Genomic DNA, 17595 nt, shown 5'->3' with positions numbered 1-17595 from the left:
AAGTAAGCATAAATTGGAGAAATAACAAATTGATATTCAACGTCTTCTGATAGAAATGGGCCAATGGAGATGCAATCAGACCCACTAAGTTCCCTTTGAATGGTCGACAAGAAAAGGATGGTCCGACAGACTGCCAGGAGGTTGGTGGAAAAAGATGGAGGCAAAGGAGTAGAGGAAGAGATGCCAAGAGACCAGAAAACTGATGGATCTTTTGACCCAAGTTAAAGCAGTGTCAAGAAAAATGGAGGGGTCATTAGTGGGCAGTTTAGATGAGAACTGAATCATGTACTTTGGTGAACATGGGAAACCATGAGAATGGTTTGTGTGTGGTAAGAGATCGAGAACGGCCAGCAGCGGTGGCTCACACCTGGAATCTCAGCACTTTGGGAGGCCGAGGCGGGTGAATCACTTGAGGTCAGGAGATCGAGACCATCCTGGCTAACACGGTGAAACCCCGTCTCTACTAAAAATATAAAAAAAATTAGCCGCGCGTGGTGGCGGGCGCCTGTAGTCCCACCTACTCAGGAGGCTGAGGCAGGAGAATGGCGTGAACCCGGGAGGCGGAGCTTGCAGTGAGCCGAGATCGCGCCACTGCACTCCAGCCTGGGCGACAGAGCGAGACTCCCTCTCAAAAAGAAAAAAAAAAAGAAGAGATCGAGACCATCCTGGCCAACATCGTGAAACCCCGTCTATACTAAAAATACAAAAATTAGCTGGGCGTGGTGACACATGCCTGTAGTCCCAGCTACTCGGGAGGCTGAGGCAGGCGAATTGCTTGAACCCGGGAGGCAGAGGTGGCAGGGAGCTGAGATCTCGCCACTGCACTCCAGCCTGGGCGAGAGAGCAGGACTTTGTCTCAAAAAATAAATAAATACATAAATAAAAGAAAATGACAAAAAGATGTAAAAATGCAAGCAGCAATTAGAAGCAGTTTGGCTACGAAGAGAAATAAACCAGGACAGCAGCTTATACTTAAGCTGCCAGAAGGGCATGCAGAGTAAAGGAGAGTTTTATATTTATTTGTAAAATTTTTTAAAAAGATTCAATAATAGTTGGAAGCCAATGTGAAAATCCAGTTGAGAAAGTTGGGTATGCATGAAAGGCAGCATGACTGACTGTACAAGGATCTTTAGATATCAGGAGAGAAGTTGACTTTATATATATATACATAAATTTATTATTTAAATTTATATTAAATAATATATATATTATTTGAATACATATATTAATATATAATATAATTATTAAATACATTAAATACATATATACATTAAATACATAAATAATTATTAAATACATATATTAATATATAATATAATATAATAGATAATATATTATAAATAATATAATAGATAATATATACTATATATTAATTTTTAATTTTGTTTGGATACATAGTGAGTGTATACATTTATTTACATGAGCTATTTTGATGCAGGCATGCAATGGATAACCATCACATCAAGTAAGTAGGGTATCCATCACCTCAAGTATTTATACTTTTTGTTCCAAACAATCCACTTATACTCTTTTAGTTATTTTTAAATGAACAATGAAATTATTTTTTACTGTAGTCATCCTTTTGTGCTAGCAAATACTAGTTCTTATTTATTTTTTCCAACTATTTTTTTGTATCCATGAGAAACTGACTTTAAATAGACAGGGAGATCTTCCCACTTGTCAATAGTGAAGGGATTTTCACTTGGAACATAGAGGAGACTCTGAATGGGTCAAGGTGCATTTCCTGGCAGATCTGTGTACTTGCCACCGGGGAGAGAGGGGCATTCTAATCTGATGGTTTCTATAATCCCTAGAGTAGGATGACCATGTAATTTGTCACTGAAACGGGAACACTTTGGAGAATGAAAATAGGCACTATTAATAATGAAGCTAGGATTGTTTTAGCAAACTGGAACTTGTGGTCACTATCTTAAGTTGAATTCCCCCAGAAACTGTTCTGGTACAGAGATTTGAGTTTTGGTATTAGATCTGATAGATGAGGAAAACATCAGTAGGGGAGTAGGAAATTAATATGGCTAATACAATTTGGGGAAATAAGGAAACCAGTAAAGCACACATTACAAGCCATGTATCACTTTGAGCAGTTGGAACCACATCCACCTGGGGAACCACTTAGAGCCAGTGTAGATCATACACCTTAAGAGTTCTGTCACCCCAAGAGAGAAGCTCAGATATTTATACTCAGCTCCTGTGAGTCACTGGATGAGGGGTGCTCTTAGATGGGCATTAATTTCCCTGCACTTGCCTCAGTAGCAGAAAAAGTATTTGTGAGGCTGAATACACCTTCAGACAAAGAAATGCAAAGGCTACAGATTGAAAGGAAACTGTCAGATAACTAGGGAAGGGCTAGGGGAAATGCAACAGGGAGAGGGCACCAACAGCTTTCAGCCTAAGTTTCAGAGTAAGTTACAGTGCAACTGAAGGTGATCTGAGAGTCAAGGGATAGGTGGGAAGTTGAAAGGAAATTTTATGAGCATGGAAAAAATAGAAACAATTATATGAGAAAACATGATTACTTAGCAGTACTGAGACCTCTGCACCACAGCTAGGAATATTCTAATAGTCCTTGAAATAATTATTTGTATCTTTATCTACAGAAAAGGAACTGGCATGATGGGAAAGTAAATATACAAGGTCAAAAAAACAATAAACACAAAGGTTGGAAAACAAAATCATGTACTCCGGCTTCAGAAGCTCTATGTTCTTTTCAAAATAACATCTGACAAAGATATGTTCGATGAAGTCTTTTTGTTTTGTTTTGAATTTAGTTTTTTTAATTTTTAAATTTTATTTGGTGATGGATCATTTTTAGTTTGTGTTTTTAAGGGAAAAGACTTCATTGTTTCTCTTTGATTCTTTCAGGAAAATGGCTACAAACCATTTGCATGTGTTCAAAATATTTATGTTTCATTCTCTCTAATATTTCTAAGTTCCTCCTTATAATTTAATATTATAACCTTATGATGATGAATACTAATCAAATGAGTGTACAGTTGCTCCATTGTTACCAGAAGTATGTAAGAAGTGAGATGATCTGAAATTGTTAAGGATATTTTCTAGAAAAACCGGTAAGTTTTTTTTTTTTTTTTTTTTTGAAACGGAGTCTCGCTCTGTCACCCAGGCTGAAGTGCAGTGGCACAATCTTGGCTCACGGTAACACTGGTCTCCCAGGTTCCAGCAATTCTCCTGCCTCAGCCTCCCAAGCATCTGGGACTACAGGCATGCGCCACCATGCCCAACTGATTTTTGTATTTTTAGTAGAGATGGGGTTTCACCATGTTGGTCAGGCTGGTCGCAAACTCCTGACCTCAGGTGATCCACCCACCTAGGCCTCCCAAAGTGCTGGGATTACAGGTGTGAGCCACCATGCCCAGCCCACGCCGTAAGTTTTTATAATTGTATAATTACATTAGTGGAATAAATGAATGGATAATTGGTAACATTCAGGCAGTGTATTTAGGTGATGAGTTTTCTAATCAGTTAACTATGAGACACAAATCCATGGCAAATCAGACCACATTAGTATAGCATTTTCCCCATGGATCTACTCAATACTCTGGAAAATTAAGTATTTAATTAAAAAGACCAGAAATTGTCCAATTTCTTATCTCACTAACAGATTTGTGACTAAAAGTTAAGGATATTGAATGAATACAGACAAGATGAATTTGTTTTTCCCTATGTTGCATTCTCCATTAAATTTAGTATTTTTTTCCATTTGCAACTTTAGATGAGTATTTGCTATTCTTCAACTTTTACACTGTACACGTTCTGATATGAGTGAACTAACCGCCGTAGTAGAACTTTGTTTTCAAGTCTACTAGGTTGCTTTTGTGAAGCCTAGTACTGCTTCTACTTTTGTAAATAAATAATTATTTGAAAGTGTGTTTCAAAGATTTCAAACATGTTATCTTTTGGTAATACCGATGACATAATGTCAATTAGTGCTATTTTCCTTTCCTTCAGTGAAATGTAGTATAGAATTTCTGCAATTTGACCATTTTCAATTTGACTATTTTTTTCTTTTGGGGTATTAAAATTTAGAAGGTCATGGGAGATCTTTCTCTTCTAGAAAATTTTAAGTTTTATTTATTTATGTATTGAGACAGAGTCTCACTCTGTCACCCAGGCTGGAGTGCAGTGGCATGATCTTGGCTTACCGTAATCTCCATCTCCTGGGTTCAAGTGATTCCACTGCCTCAGCCTCCTGAATAGCTGGAATTACAGGTGCACATCAACACACCCGGCTAATTTTTGTATTTTTAGTAGAGACGGGGTTTCACCATGTTGGCTGGGCTCGTCTCAAACTCCTGACCACTAGTGATCCTCCTGCCTCGGCCTCCCCACATGCTGGGATTAAAGATATGAACCTTTTATAAAAAGTTAAAGTAACATTTTTGCATTTTAGTTTTTGTGTCTTTTAGCTTCTCTGCATTATAATTATAATAATGCTTTGGAATTTCATAATGGGAACAAAATTCTAATCAATCCTGGAATATAGATAACCAACATAGAGTGAAGATTATAAAATGTAAAGCTTCAGCATAGTTTCCATTAAGGAAAGATTAGCTATTTAGATGTATAATGTGCTTTTGAAATAATGTCAAAAACATAAACACAAAAATATTCATTAGAATTTATTCAGAATGTATTTTCTACAATATGGAGACAACAGTTTTTGGTAAAGGAAACACAATTCTTAGGAGTTTTTCTAAGAGACTTTCAGAAGAATTTTTTATAGATTCAGATAAATAAATGATTCAAATGAACTCTAGTTGCATTAGTAAAGAAACAAGGTAGGCTGGGCGCAGTGGCTCACGCCTGTAATCCCAGCACTTTGGGAGGCCGAGGAGGGCAGATCACGAGGTCAGGAGATCGAGACCATTCTGGCCAACACGGTGAAACCCCGTCTCTACTAAAAATACAAAAAAAAAAAAATTAGCTGGTCGTGGTGGTGGGCACCTGTAGTCCCAGCTACTTGGGAGGCTGAGGCAGGAGAATGGCATGAACCTGGGAGGCGAAGCTTGCAGTGAGCCGAGATCGCGCCACTGCACTCCAGCCTGGACAACAGTGAGACTCCGTCTTAAAAAAAAAAAAAAAAAAAGAAGAAACAGGGTATTTGGAAAACATTGTATGATACATGAAAATAAATTTGATATGTCTGTGAAGTATCTTGCTATAGAAGTTAATTATTTTTATCTTTCATGTTGTCAAATTGAATTATGATTTATGGTTTGCATCTACTCCAATGAACTGCAAAGCATTCATTTCATGTAAATTATTAAAATGCAAAATAGCATACAAATTTTTTCTATATTGATTCAAGACATTGGACTATCCTATATGATAGACAGAAGACAGATTTACCTTTTATTTATACTGTACTCATTGATACCGTTTTTATTGTTTTGGAAATACAGGCTGATCATTTACGTTTGAATGAAAATGTGATGGGAAACAAAAATATACACTAATATAACACTCCTCATTTGGCATAAGAAAATGGGATTAGGTGTGGTGGCTCACATCTGTAATCTCAGCACTTTGGGTGGCTGAGATGGGAGGATCTCTTGAGGCAGGAGTTCTAGACCAGGCTGGGCAATATTGTGAGACCTCATCTCTACAAAAAATTAAAAATTTAGCCAGGTGTGGTGGTGCATGCCTGCTACTCCCAGCTACTTGGGAGGCTGAAGTGGTAAGATCACTTGAGCCCAAGAGGTGGAGGCTGCAGTGAGCCATGATGGCGCCACTGCACTCCAGCCTGGGTGACAGAGCAAGACTCTGTTGCAAAAAAAAAAAAAACAAAAACCCAAAACATAATGCATTAAAAGACAATATAGCTCTATTCTTTTGGGCCTAATAATAAGAGCTTATATTTGTTTAGCTCTTATTATGTGCAAGATCCTCTTCTAATTACTATACATGTATTTTATCACTAAAATAAAATATTAATTGAGCAACAACTATGTATGAGCAGGTAAATGAGAATCCGGAGTTTACATTATGGACCTGAGTAGAGCAAGATGCAATTTGTAGAGTAATCAGGATACAATTTGAGCAAAATCTTGAAGGCAAATGAAGAGGTTAGTTCAGGAGATATGTAAGGGAAGAATGTTTGCAGTAGAGGGCCTCGCCAGGGAGAATGCCCAAGGGCCAGTGTGTAGTGGGTGTTAGTGACACAGCAAGGAGGAGAGTATGGCAGAGTGAGGGAGAGAGAGTGAAGTAGAAGGTGAGGTCGGAGCAGTTATGAGGGACAACATCATGCACGGTCTTGGCAATCTGTTGTAGGGATTCTGTCTTTACTCCAAAGGAAATGAGAAGCTACTGCGGGTTTTAGAGAAAAGCACTCTTCTCTCAAGGCCTGATTCTATTCTCATCTGACTCTCAAGCTATCTCAGTTTTATTGCCATGCATATTTATTATTCATTAACAAATAACATATATAATGCACAGTTCATTTTTTCTACCAGCTTCTCCCTATTCTGCCCACCCCCAGCGTCTGTAAGTGCCATTCTACTCTCTGATTCTATAAGTTAAAAAAAATTTTTTTTTTGAGATGGAATCTCACTCTGTCCTCCAGGCTGGAGTGCAATGGCACAGTCTCGGCTTACTGCAACCTCCGCCTTCTGGGTTCAAGCGATTCCCCCCACCTTAGCCTCCCGAGTAGCTGGGATTACAGGCATCCACCATCATGCCCGGCTAATTTTTGTGTTTTTGTCGAGACGGGGTTTCACCATGTTGGCCAGGCTGGTCTTGAACTCCTGACGTCAGGTGATCTGCCCGCCTTGGCCTCCCAAAGTGCTGGGATTATAGGCGTGAGCCACCACACCTGGCCGAGTTCAACTTTTTTACATTCCACATATGAGTAAGATCACATGATATTTGTCTTTCTGCACCTGGCTTATTTCCCTTAACATAGTGGCCTTGAGGTTCATCCATGTCGTTGCAAATGACAGAATTTCCTTCTTTTTTAAGGCTGAATGCTATTCCATTGTGTATGTACACCATATCCTTTTTATCTGTTCATCCTTTGATGATTAATCCCATATCTTGGTTGCTGTGAATAATGCTATAATGAACATGGAACTGAAGGAATCTCATAGGTATACTGATTTCCTTTCCTTTGAGTATATACCCAGTAGTGAGATTGCTGGATCATATGGTAGGTCTATTTTTAATTGTAATAAACAACAAATAACATTAACAAATGACAAGTATAATATATTATACATTTTTAATAAAATTTTTAAAATATGAGAGTCCTAACAGTTATGGGGTTAATGTATCAACTGATGATAATGTTCCATTAGTTTATCTTTTATTTGTCTGGTAAAAGATTCAATATTTAGTATAACTTAATATGTCTTTATAAATGATAAGACCAGCTCCTTCCCTTATTACTCTTAATTTTCAAATGCAACAAGGCTGTAAGATGAACATTCCATTCCATATTGTTTCTTAATTTAGGTAATAAAGAATTGAAACACAGTAAGTTTATGAGTTCAATTTCTGGAACTTTTTGGTGAAAATATAGCATTCTAGCCAAACTCCCCCAGAAATACCCTTTTGCCTGCCTTTTAGTATTATAGCATCTGTTGAATTTTCAAACTGGCATCCTCTTGATTAGTCAACTACATCTAAGGAGTTTAAAAATCAAATAAAAAAATAAAAATAAAAATAAAATAAATGGTTGAAATGGGAGTCAGGATAATGCTGAGAAAATAGGGAGAAAACCCTAACACACAATGGTGTTCACTTTTATTTAACTTTTTTCTGGGACCAAAGATAAATGGAATCCAAGTCCCTCAGGGACATTTGCTTCCTAGTCCTGAGATGGTCAAGCTTGTTTCTGTCACATTTGTGTTCTGGATTTTGCTCATTCAGTCATAATTACAAATTACTCCAGGTCTTGTGACTTGTCAAGTGAAAGAAAAATAAAATTAGAAAAATATATAGCTTTTGTAACTAAAAATTAGTAAGTGTAGGCCATATTTAGAATCTCATTATGAGAGCAAACCATTGGAGCTACCACAAACCTTTTGTCTCAATACTTTAGACGGGGTCTCTGTCACCCAGGCTGGAGTGCAGTGACACAATCATGGCTCACTGCAGCCTCCACCTCCCAGGCTCAAGTAATCTTCCCACTTGAGCTTTCTGAGCTGCTGGGATTACAGGTGTGTACCACCATGCCCAGCTCATTTTTTTTTTTTAATTTCTTTGTAAAGACAGTTTTGCCATGTTGGCCAGACAGGCCTCGAACTCCTGGGCTCAAGCGATTCGCCCGCCTTAGCCTCCCAAAGGGCTGGGATTACAGGTATGAGCCACGACGGCTGGTCAAAGAAAGAATTTTTAAACATATTGCTGGTTTTAATAGTAAAAAGAAAATTATACATATTGTACATCATGCACAACATAATGTTTTTTGAGGCAGGGTCTCACTCTGTTACCTGCCGGGTGAGGTGTCAGAGACCCCACACCGGAAAAAGGTCCACTCACAGGTTGGTAAAAGTAAATTATGGACACCAGTATAGGTGTGAAAAAGGAAAGTTTATTAGAAAGGAAGAAAGCTGCAAAAGGGTGCAGCCGCGATCCGTGGTGGATTTTCCTTAGGGGTATTTATGGATCTTACTGCGGGAGCTTAAGATTGCAAAATGAGTTTCAGCATGGCATTCCAGAGATGCATAAAAACTTTAATTACTTATAAAAGTTGAAAGAGGCTGGAACCAGATGTGACCAGGGGGTCTTTATTCCCTTCTAAATTCCTCAGATAAGGAGTTTTTCTCTTCGGTGGTCTGTTTGAGGGTCACTGGACGACTTCCACTCTCTCATCACCCAGCTGGAGTGCAGTGGTGAGATCACAGCTCATGCAGTCTTTAAAATATACCTGGGCTCAAGGGATCCTCCTGCCTCAACTTCCTAAGTAGCTGGGACTACAAGTGCACACCCCCGCACCAGGCTAATTTTTGTACTTTTTGTAAAATTGGGGTCTTATTTTGTTGCCCGGGCTGGTCTCAAACTCCTGGACTCAAGCAATTCTCCTGCCTCAGCCTCTCAAAGTTCTAGAATTATGGGCATGGGACATTGCACCTGGCGCATAATATAATTTTATAAATTATTGCATGTAACTTGGCCACACTTGAGAACAAAAGGAAAATAGTGAAAGTTACTACAGATCACTGGAATACATTTTTCTCTGTCATTAGTTAAAACCACTGTGAATGTCTTTCACTCCAATTACTTTCAATTCCAAGTTCAGTCTTAATATGAATATTATCAGATGTTGGGTAAAAATAATCTTTTCAATTATCTAAATTTGCTCACCATCAAATGTATATACCTTGTGAATACCTATTATCTACCTATTGAAGCCACATGAAGTGTCAACAGTTTTTCATCGAGAATACAGAATATTTATTGTCTTCTATATTTTAATTCCAAATAATGTTATTTATGTAGTAAGAAGTGTCTTTAAGAATTAGCTCCCATGGCTTTCCAGTGGTTTGAGGAAAACATTAAACTATTAAGTTTGTACAGCAGCTGTACAGATAATAAAACCAGTCCTTCGCCCCTTACCACCTCTTAATGAAGTTGTTAAATTAGATCTTGCTTTTTTTTTTTTCTTGAGACGGAGTCTCGCTCTGTCACCCAGACTGGAGTGCAGTGGTGTGATCTCGACTCACTGCAACCTCTGCCTCCTGGGTTCAAGCGATTCTCCTGCCTCAGCCTCCCGAATAGCTGGGACTACAGGCATGCACCACCACACTCGGCTAATTTTTGTATTTTTAGTAAAGACGGGGTTTCACTATGTTGACCAGGCTGGTCTCGATCTCCTGACCTCAGATGATCCGCCCACTTTGGCCTCCCAGAGTGCTGGGATTACAGGCATGAGCCACTGTGCCTGGCCTAGATCTTGCCTTTTTAAAAATAGAAAATATATATATATATATATTAGAATATATATATATTCTTTTTAAAAATAGAAAATATATATATATACTAGAAATATATACTAGAAAAGCTAAAGTAATATATATATACTAGTACATATATATATATAATATATATGTACTAGTATATATATATACTAGAAAAGCTAAAGTAACTACTAGTTGTTGGAAAAATACCCATGAAACAGAAACAGCACAGTTCTGATATTACTTTCTCTATAGTCTTTTCATCACACCTCAGCAGCGACCAGTTACAGCCAAATGCAGAAATGACTATCTTTCTTTACATTGTGAAATACATTTCTAAGGTTTCTTCAGTTCAAGATCCATCTTTTGGTTCTCTTGCTGTGAATTCAGTATATATTTTTCCAATATAATTTGACTGGACATCATGTTGAAACTGAAGGGTAGACATTTTAGTGGGTGAACTTGACTTATCCTTCTTGTACAAAAGATAACCAAAGGAATAAAAACACATCAGAAAATAGAAGTAGAAGATCAGTCATTGGGGTTCTTCAGTGCTGTGTCCATGAGCCAAACTCTGTATGAAATGCAGGACGTATAAAGCTACATGAAACATATTCCTTAGTCTTGAGAACTAGTTATTAATCTCATGTGGCCCACAGTACAGGAGTGCTGTACTTCAGTGTAAAGCATATTCTAGAAATAATAAAGATCTAATGTTTTATTTAGCATTTCTGCCTTTTCAGATATTCCATGGACATTCTTCTATTTTGCAGTATTCTTATTTTCACTTCACAGTCACCAGAGGTGACTGATAGGAATTGAAAATGAGCTTTGTGTGTATTCATAAAATTCTGGGGATTAGTAACATGAAATAAAAAGATTTATGTGAAGTGCAGGTTTTCATATGTAGGCTGAGCCCTCTTAAGGATGTGTCCTGTGGTGAGCAGAATACAAAAACAGCTAAAAGGCATATTCTGTTATCATATGTTCATAGTCCTTTTAACCTCTCTGGAAACCTTTATTTTCAGCCTCTACCGTCTAAAAGTCATATGAGATATGATCAAAAGAAGCAAAGGACATTAAGTATTTAGGCAATGGGATAAATTGGTCAAGACTGAATTTGCTGTAAGAAAAAACAGTGCATCCGTATTTTGTTATCAGGGTGCTCAGGCAGATTGTAATAGAAGCAACAAAATGACAGGCTTATGCTTGGTTCAAATAAAATCGACGTTTCTTCTATAACATTTGAAAAGATTTATGAGGGACTTTGAACTAATATTTCCCTGGCCTTAGGGAGCAAAGCATATGCCAGTAGCTGCTTTAATGAAAGAGAGGGAGGGAGAGAGAAGGAAAATATTATTCTTTTGATTTAAAAAATACGTTTTAGCTTTTTAAAGTCTCTGATGCCTGAGAAAAGATACTGCTTGCAGAAGTGACATATCTACTTTGAAGTACGGCCATTTGTCTCTCTATTTCCAAATGTACCTTAGACAATTCAAGCTCTCTAGACAGCACTTCAGGACTCCAGAAGAGTTTTCCTTTTAACAAATGGTGGCAATTTGTTTCTGACATTGTAACAAATTAATTGTTACATACCCATTTTGAACATTCTGCTAATGTTTATGATACAAAACGGCATACTGTGATTATCAGGAGAGAATTTGTTTTGTTCTCTAGTCCATACATATTTTGAAATAACATTTTGATGTAGGAAATATTTGAGAATATGGCTTAAAATTTTGTGTTATATGAGGTCAAGGGATCAAGACCATCCTGGCCAACATGGTGAAACCCCGTCTCTACTAAAAATACAAAAAATTAGCCAGGCATGGTGGCAGACACCTGTAGTCCCAGCTACTCGGGAGGCTGAGGCAGGAGAATCACTTGAACCCAGGAGGCAGAGGTTGCAGTGAACTGAGATTGCGCCACTGCACTCCAGCCTGGTGACAGAGCGAGACTCCTTCTAAAAAAAAAAAAAAAGTTGTGTTATACCCAATTTCGGTATGTTGTAGTAACTATGAGATAGAATTTTAAAAATATGTGCTTCTTAAAAAATGTTTTTTTAAATTTGGAATAAATATATAAATTCTAAAAAGCCAGATTGCATTAAAAATCTATCATTATGTTTTTAGTAAGATGGTTGTATCTGCAAATGTCTTAGTGAGTTTCTATGAACTAAATTAAAGAAACTGTCTATAAGTAATTCATGTTCTCTTTTTAAAGAGAATTTGAATTTTTTAATTTCTAATTTTTCTTTCACAACTTGAATTCATAATCAGTATTTATTTTATAGTTACTTTAGTCACTTGGTTTTAAAGTTATATTTTTATTTTTAAGAATGGCTTCAAATGTCTCAACTGTATTTTAAGTATGCTCCAATTCTGTTAAAATGATTTGTATTTAATCGTGTAGTGGAGTGTGCTGGTAGATGATCCCATCTTTGCCTTTTTACACTGGTGCTTTGAACAAACCTGTTTCATACATTCCTGGTTTATGTGTGTGTGTCATATGGTTTAAGCATTCACCAATTTAATTGTAGTAATGTAAATATTTCATTATATTTTTTTTTCGACAGAGTCTTAGTCTGTCACCCAAGCTGGAGTGCAGTGGCGCAATCTCGGCTCACTGCAACCGCCGTCTCCCGGGCTCAAGCGATTCTCCTACCTCAGCCTCCCAAGTAGCTGAGACTACAGGTGCCCACCATTACACCCAGCTATTTTTTGTATTTTTAGTAGAGATGGGGTTTCACCATGTTGGCCAGGCTTGTTTCCAACTCCTGACCTCAACTGATCCTCCCACCTCAGCCTCCCAAAGTGCTGGGATTACAGGTGTGAGCCACCACACCCAGTCTAATGTAAATATTTCTTTTTCTAGATTAGTTTACAAAGTTTTACTTGTTCTTTTATTGTTTTTAAAGTAACAATATAGTAAAATATAAATGAAAATATTTTTGATTAGTTAATTCTTGTGTAGGGGATTCTGTTCTCATTAAAAGCCAGATCAATTCATTTCATTATAAAAAGCAAAGATACATATAAACACTAATTTTATAAAAACAAATCTACAGAATATCTGGCGTAACATAAGCTATTGCCATTTTTGCAGCTGTTATTTTTGTTTTAAGAAAATTTCTCAATAACCATAATAATGAAAGCATCTTAAAATTGCTGTGGTCGTGAGGGCACATTTATGCTATACTGAATTGGTGCAATTTTACAAAATTTTATATACTGTTTAAAGTTAAAAAGTGACTTCATATGCCATGTTGCTTCACTAAATAACACATAATACTTATTTAGCAACAGAAAATGCCTTATTTATGCTGAAAACTCTTGGCAATTATAACAGCTTTTCCATGATATCCACAAGACATTAGAAAAATTATAATACATTCTTTATCATATTAACCAAGAACAAAACATGAAGACTAAATTGTGTAATTCTCATAAGTTTGAGATATTTTTGTCTAATGCAGCATATTCCAACTTTTTCCTAGAGGACCAATCTTATCAACTGGTCCTCTCTTCTTTAATTGTCTTTAAAAAGTTGTCTATCTAAGAAGAATCAATCTTAAGTAATGACTGTTTATCTTTTATTACTCATGTCTATGTCTATATGTGGAAATAGCATTTTATACCAGTGCTACCATACAATGTTATAAAATTCCAACTGCAGCAAAAATTTTGGCAATCTGTGAAGTCTCGTCACTGTGAGTGATGAGATTAGGCAGAAAAATGCATAATTAAAAAATAAGCTTCTATGATTAAATTATGGAATTGAATGGATATTATGATCAAGAGAATTCTACATGACCACCAATGAATACCAGATTTTCACTAGTCATTGTTAAATATTGAAAATAAGTAGTGTTCTCTTTCATGGACAGTAAAGGGATTCTCTCTAAGGAAGAGATATTTAAGCTGTAAGCAGGAAGGAGCCTAGCATGGGAAGAGCATCAGATCATCAAGGCAGAGGAAACAGGAAGAGCGTAAAGGCTGGTTTGCAACGAATTGAAAGGTGGCCAATGTAGCTGGTGTGCAGTGAGCCAAGTGGGCCGCAGTGGGAAATGATGCTGGCGAGATCACACACAGCATCCTAGAGTAGAAGGAGTGTGTGGAAAGTATAATGGTAAGTTAATGTAAAGGAAAGTTGAGGAAAGATCTTAAGCAGGAGGCTGACATACTCCAGGTCATACTTTGAAATAATTCCTTCAGTTGCTGAATTGATGTTGTGTGAGATAAGATAAAATATAGACAAATCTGTTTCCATGAGACACATATCCCAGGAATTGCATTATTTTGGAGCAATACTTAACAAATTATTTTCAAAATCATGGAAAATTTTATTAAATACTAGTAAATAACTTGTGATCATAAATTCCTTTAAGAAAAACACTATCTTCTTTTCCTGAATTAGTTTGCTTAACAGGCTGATTATTTTTACATTTATTGGCAATGTCTTCAGCTTGCCCTGTTTGGAATTTAATAGTTCTGAAGGTCTCAGGGTCTTCTGTAACTCTTTCTCTGTTGTTGTTTTGTGTGTTTGTGTTTTTATTTTGAGTTTGGTGGAGAGTCATACTGATAATCTTCAACATTGTGTCATTAACAAAACAGAAGTTTAGAGATGAATACATTCAATACAAGTCCAAGTTTGCCAGTTACTTTGTTGCATTCTATTGTATGATGTGCACAACAAGTTTCTTCTTCTACAAATTTAAGATTATAGTATAATACAGGAAGACTTTTGAATTACCTCTCCAGCAAACCTACATAAACACTCTTTACCAGTTACTCAGAAAGAAAAATAGGCTCACTTTTTAAAAGAGTTATAGGAGGAAAACACAAAATTGTGTGGTAGCTAACCATTCATTGCCCATATTTCTCATTCTTAATCCCAAAGTAGAAAATTATCATGATTCTGATATTTCTCTGCAAGCTGGACATGGTGGAGGGTTTGAAGCTAATGACCACTTTTGGATCTGTCTTAGTTGGTTGTTGAGACATATTTTTCAACTGGATTATTTATTCAACAAATATTAACTGAGCACCTACTACGTGTCAGATATTGTGCTAGGGCATGGGCATACAGAAATGAACAAAATACAAATTCTTTTTTGTTTTAATGGAGTTTTGCTCTTATTGCCCAGTCTGGAGTGCAGTGGTGTGATCTCAGCTCACTGCAACCTCCTCCTCCCAGGTTCAAGCTATTCTCCTGCCTCAGCCTCCCACGTAGCTGTGATTACAGGCATGTGCCACCACACCCAGCTAATTTTGTATATTTAGTAGAGATGGGGTTTCTCCATGTTGGTCAGGCTGGTCTCAAACTCCTGACCTCAGGTTATCTGCCCGCCTTGGCCTCCCAAAGTGCTGGGATTACAGTATGAGCCACCATGCCCGGACAGAAAATACAAATTCTTGACCTCGTAGCTTTCATAGTTTAGTGAAGAGATTCAAAAAAAAAAAAAGTCAATAGTAAGATAAACAGTACATTGCATGGTGATAAGTGTTATGGAAAAAAAGAAAGCAGTCATTTGGGTGGAAATTTCAATTTTAAAATAGATCAGCTTGTGTCAGACTAAACATGGCTGCAGATTCTACCCCACTCCCATTTAGTCTTCAACTCTTCCTCCCATCCCCTCTCCCAGCTGAATCTGAGCTGCCTGTGATTACTTTGATAATAAAATGTGGCAAAATTATGCAAGTTCTCAGCAGTTCGAGGCATGCTAGCTGAGGTGCCGTACGTGCAAGGAAGAAACCATCCTGGACATCCAACCCAGTCAAGCATTCAGATGACCGCAGACCTATTCACTTTCTGGCTGCATCTGCGTGAACAATCCCGAGTGAAAGCTGCCCAGCTGAGACCAATAAACCCATGAAGATGTGGGAAATTATAATAAATTGCTGCTTTAAGCTAGTACATCTTGGGAATGGCTTGTGAGGCAGCAATAAATGGCAAACACACACATGAAAGAAATGAATGAATGAGTATTTTGAGCAAAGTTTTGAAGATTGTGAGAGAGCAAATCATGTGGACATTTAGGGGAGGAACATTTATGTTAATTAGTCCATTTATTACAGAGAAAATGAGGGTTTTAACTGGATTTCCAGACATTATCTGAACAAGCAGGGTATGGGATATCAAAACCCCACAGGTGTATGGAATTCAAGCTAGTTTTTTTTTTTTTTTTTTCTTCCAGGGATTGTTTTTCTACATCAGAAACGTGTCTCCACCTGACTGTTCCCTTACCCTAGGGGCTTATGTATCACAGTCAGAAGAGTATGGTTCTACTCATAATAGAAGCAATTAACTTCTCTGCCTTAGGGAACAAGTTTAATTAATCAAAACAGTTTTGCTAAGTCATGTTGACCAGTACAGAATGTTCTGTAATTAGTAATATATTTCTTAAAAAAAAACGGTCTGAATGTTAAATATTAATCTTAATAAACATTTTCATGATAGCATTTTAAACATAAAAATGTCACCATTCTTCTGAAAAATTCATAATAAATAGGCTTTCATGTACTCTGGCAGTATCTACTGTCAATAACCACTTGAGAAATTGCCTGACTATAATTATAGCTCTTTCATATGATAGCTGTGGAGACCACACCAGGCAATGCATTGAAAGTCTTGGTGACCAGGTATGGTGGCTCTCCCCTATAATCCCAACACTTTGGGAGGCTGAGGCAGGAGTATCCCTTGAGTCCTGGAGGTCAAGGCTGCAGTGAGCTACGATCACACCACTGCACTCCAGCCTGGGCACAGACTGAAACCCTGCCTCTAAAATATAAAAATAAAAACAAAAAAATAAAAAAGTCTTGATATTGTTTCTGATGCCTTGGAACTGTTAAAAAAATTCTTGTTGATATAGTTATAAACTGTATATGTTGTTTAATCATTCGTTCAAATTTCTTAGAGTAATTCCTTATCTTTGTATTAACATGCATATCCTGGTTTATCAAATACTTTTAAAGGATTCAGGGCATCTAATGTGATTTTATAGAATACTGCGTGGCTTGCATATCTTGTAGTATCAGAATGAACTGAAGAACTTGATAAAAACCCACAAGATTCTCAACAGAGGACATCTAAAAATCTATTTTTGACAGCACCCCTGGTGATTTTGATACCCATCCACAAATAGGTAACTACCAAAAAAATTAAAAGATATTATTAAATACAAATATGATAGCAGAAGTTTAAATTTTCACAGAAGGACTAAAAGACAAAAAAAAATCTATGACAAAGTAGAACAAACAGACAAAAGATGGAAATTGGAGAGAAAAGATAAGCAACTTAGAAGATCAGACAAGGAAAACCAACAACCGCTATCAAAAATAATGAGATTCAGCAAAAAATGCAGTGAAAATGCTCCTCCATTTTGTACTAGAGGATACAAAAATGCCTTTGAACGCTGCGAATTTTTTCCTGTTTAAAGATGTTTCTTTTAAAATTAGTAACTGATTTGTTTAAGCAGAGTATTATAGCCATGACTACAATGTTTAAGATAAACACCTGTCATTTGAGTTTGTTTTTGGTAATGCCTCTGTGTTCTTAATGATTCAAATATTTACTTTGACTTTGTGCTCTTTTTAGGCCAGGACATATTTAAATAAGATGTTAATAAAAATTTAACAATATTTAAGGATTATTTGAGCTA

General features: G+C 36.8%; 1 protein-coding gene across 7 annotated transcripts in view; it reads left to right on the top strand.

Moving 5' to 3' along the window:
* GPM6A (glycoprotein M6A) overlaps positions 1-17595 on the top strand; it is a 369457-nt gene that overhangs the window by 271275 nt on the left and 80587 nt on the right. The gene's annotated exons all lie outside the window — the stretch shown is intronic.

This window comes from Homo sapiens, chromosome 4, assembly GCF_000001405.40.
Source record: "Homo sapiens chromosome 4, GRCh38.p14 Primary Assembly".
Taxonomy (NCBI): Eukaryota; Metazoa; Chordata; class Mammalia; order Primates; family Hominidae; genus Homo; species Homo sapiens.
This window is presented reverse-complemented; position numbering and strand designations above follow the sequence as displayed.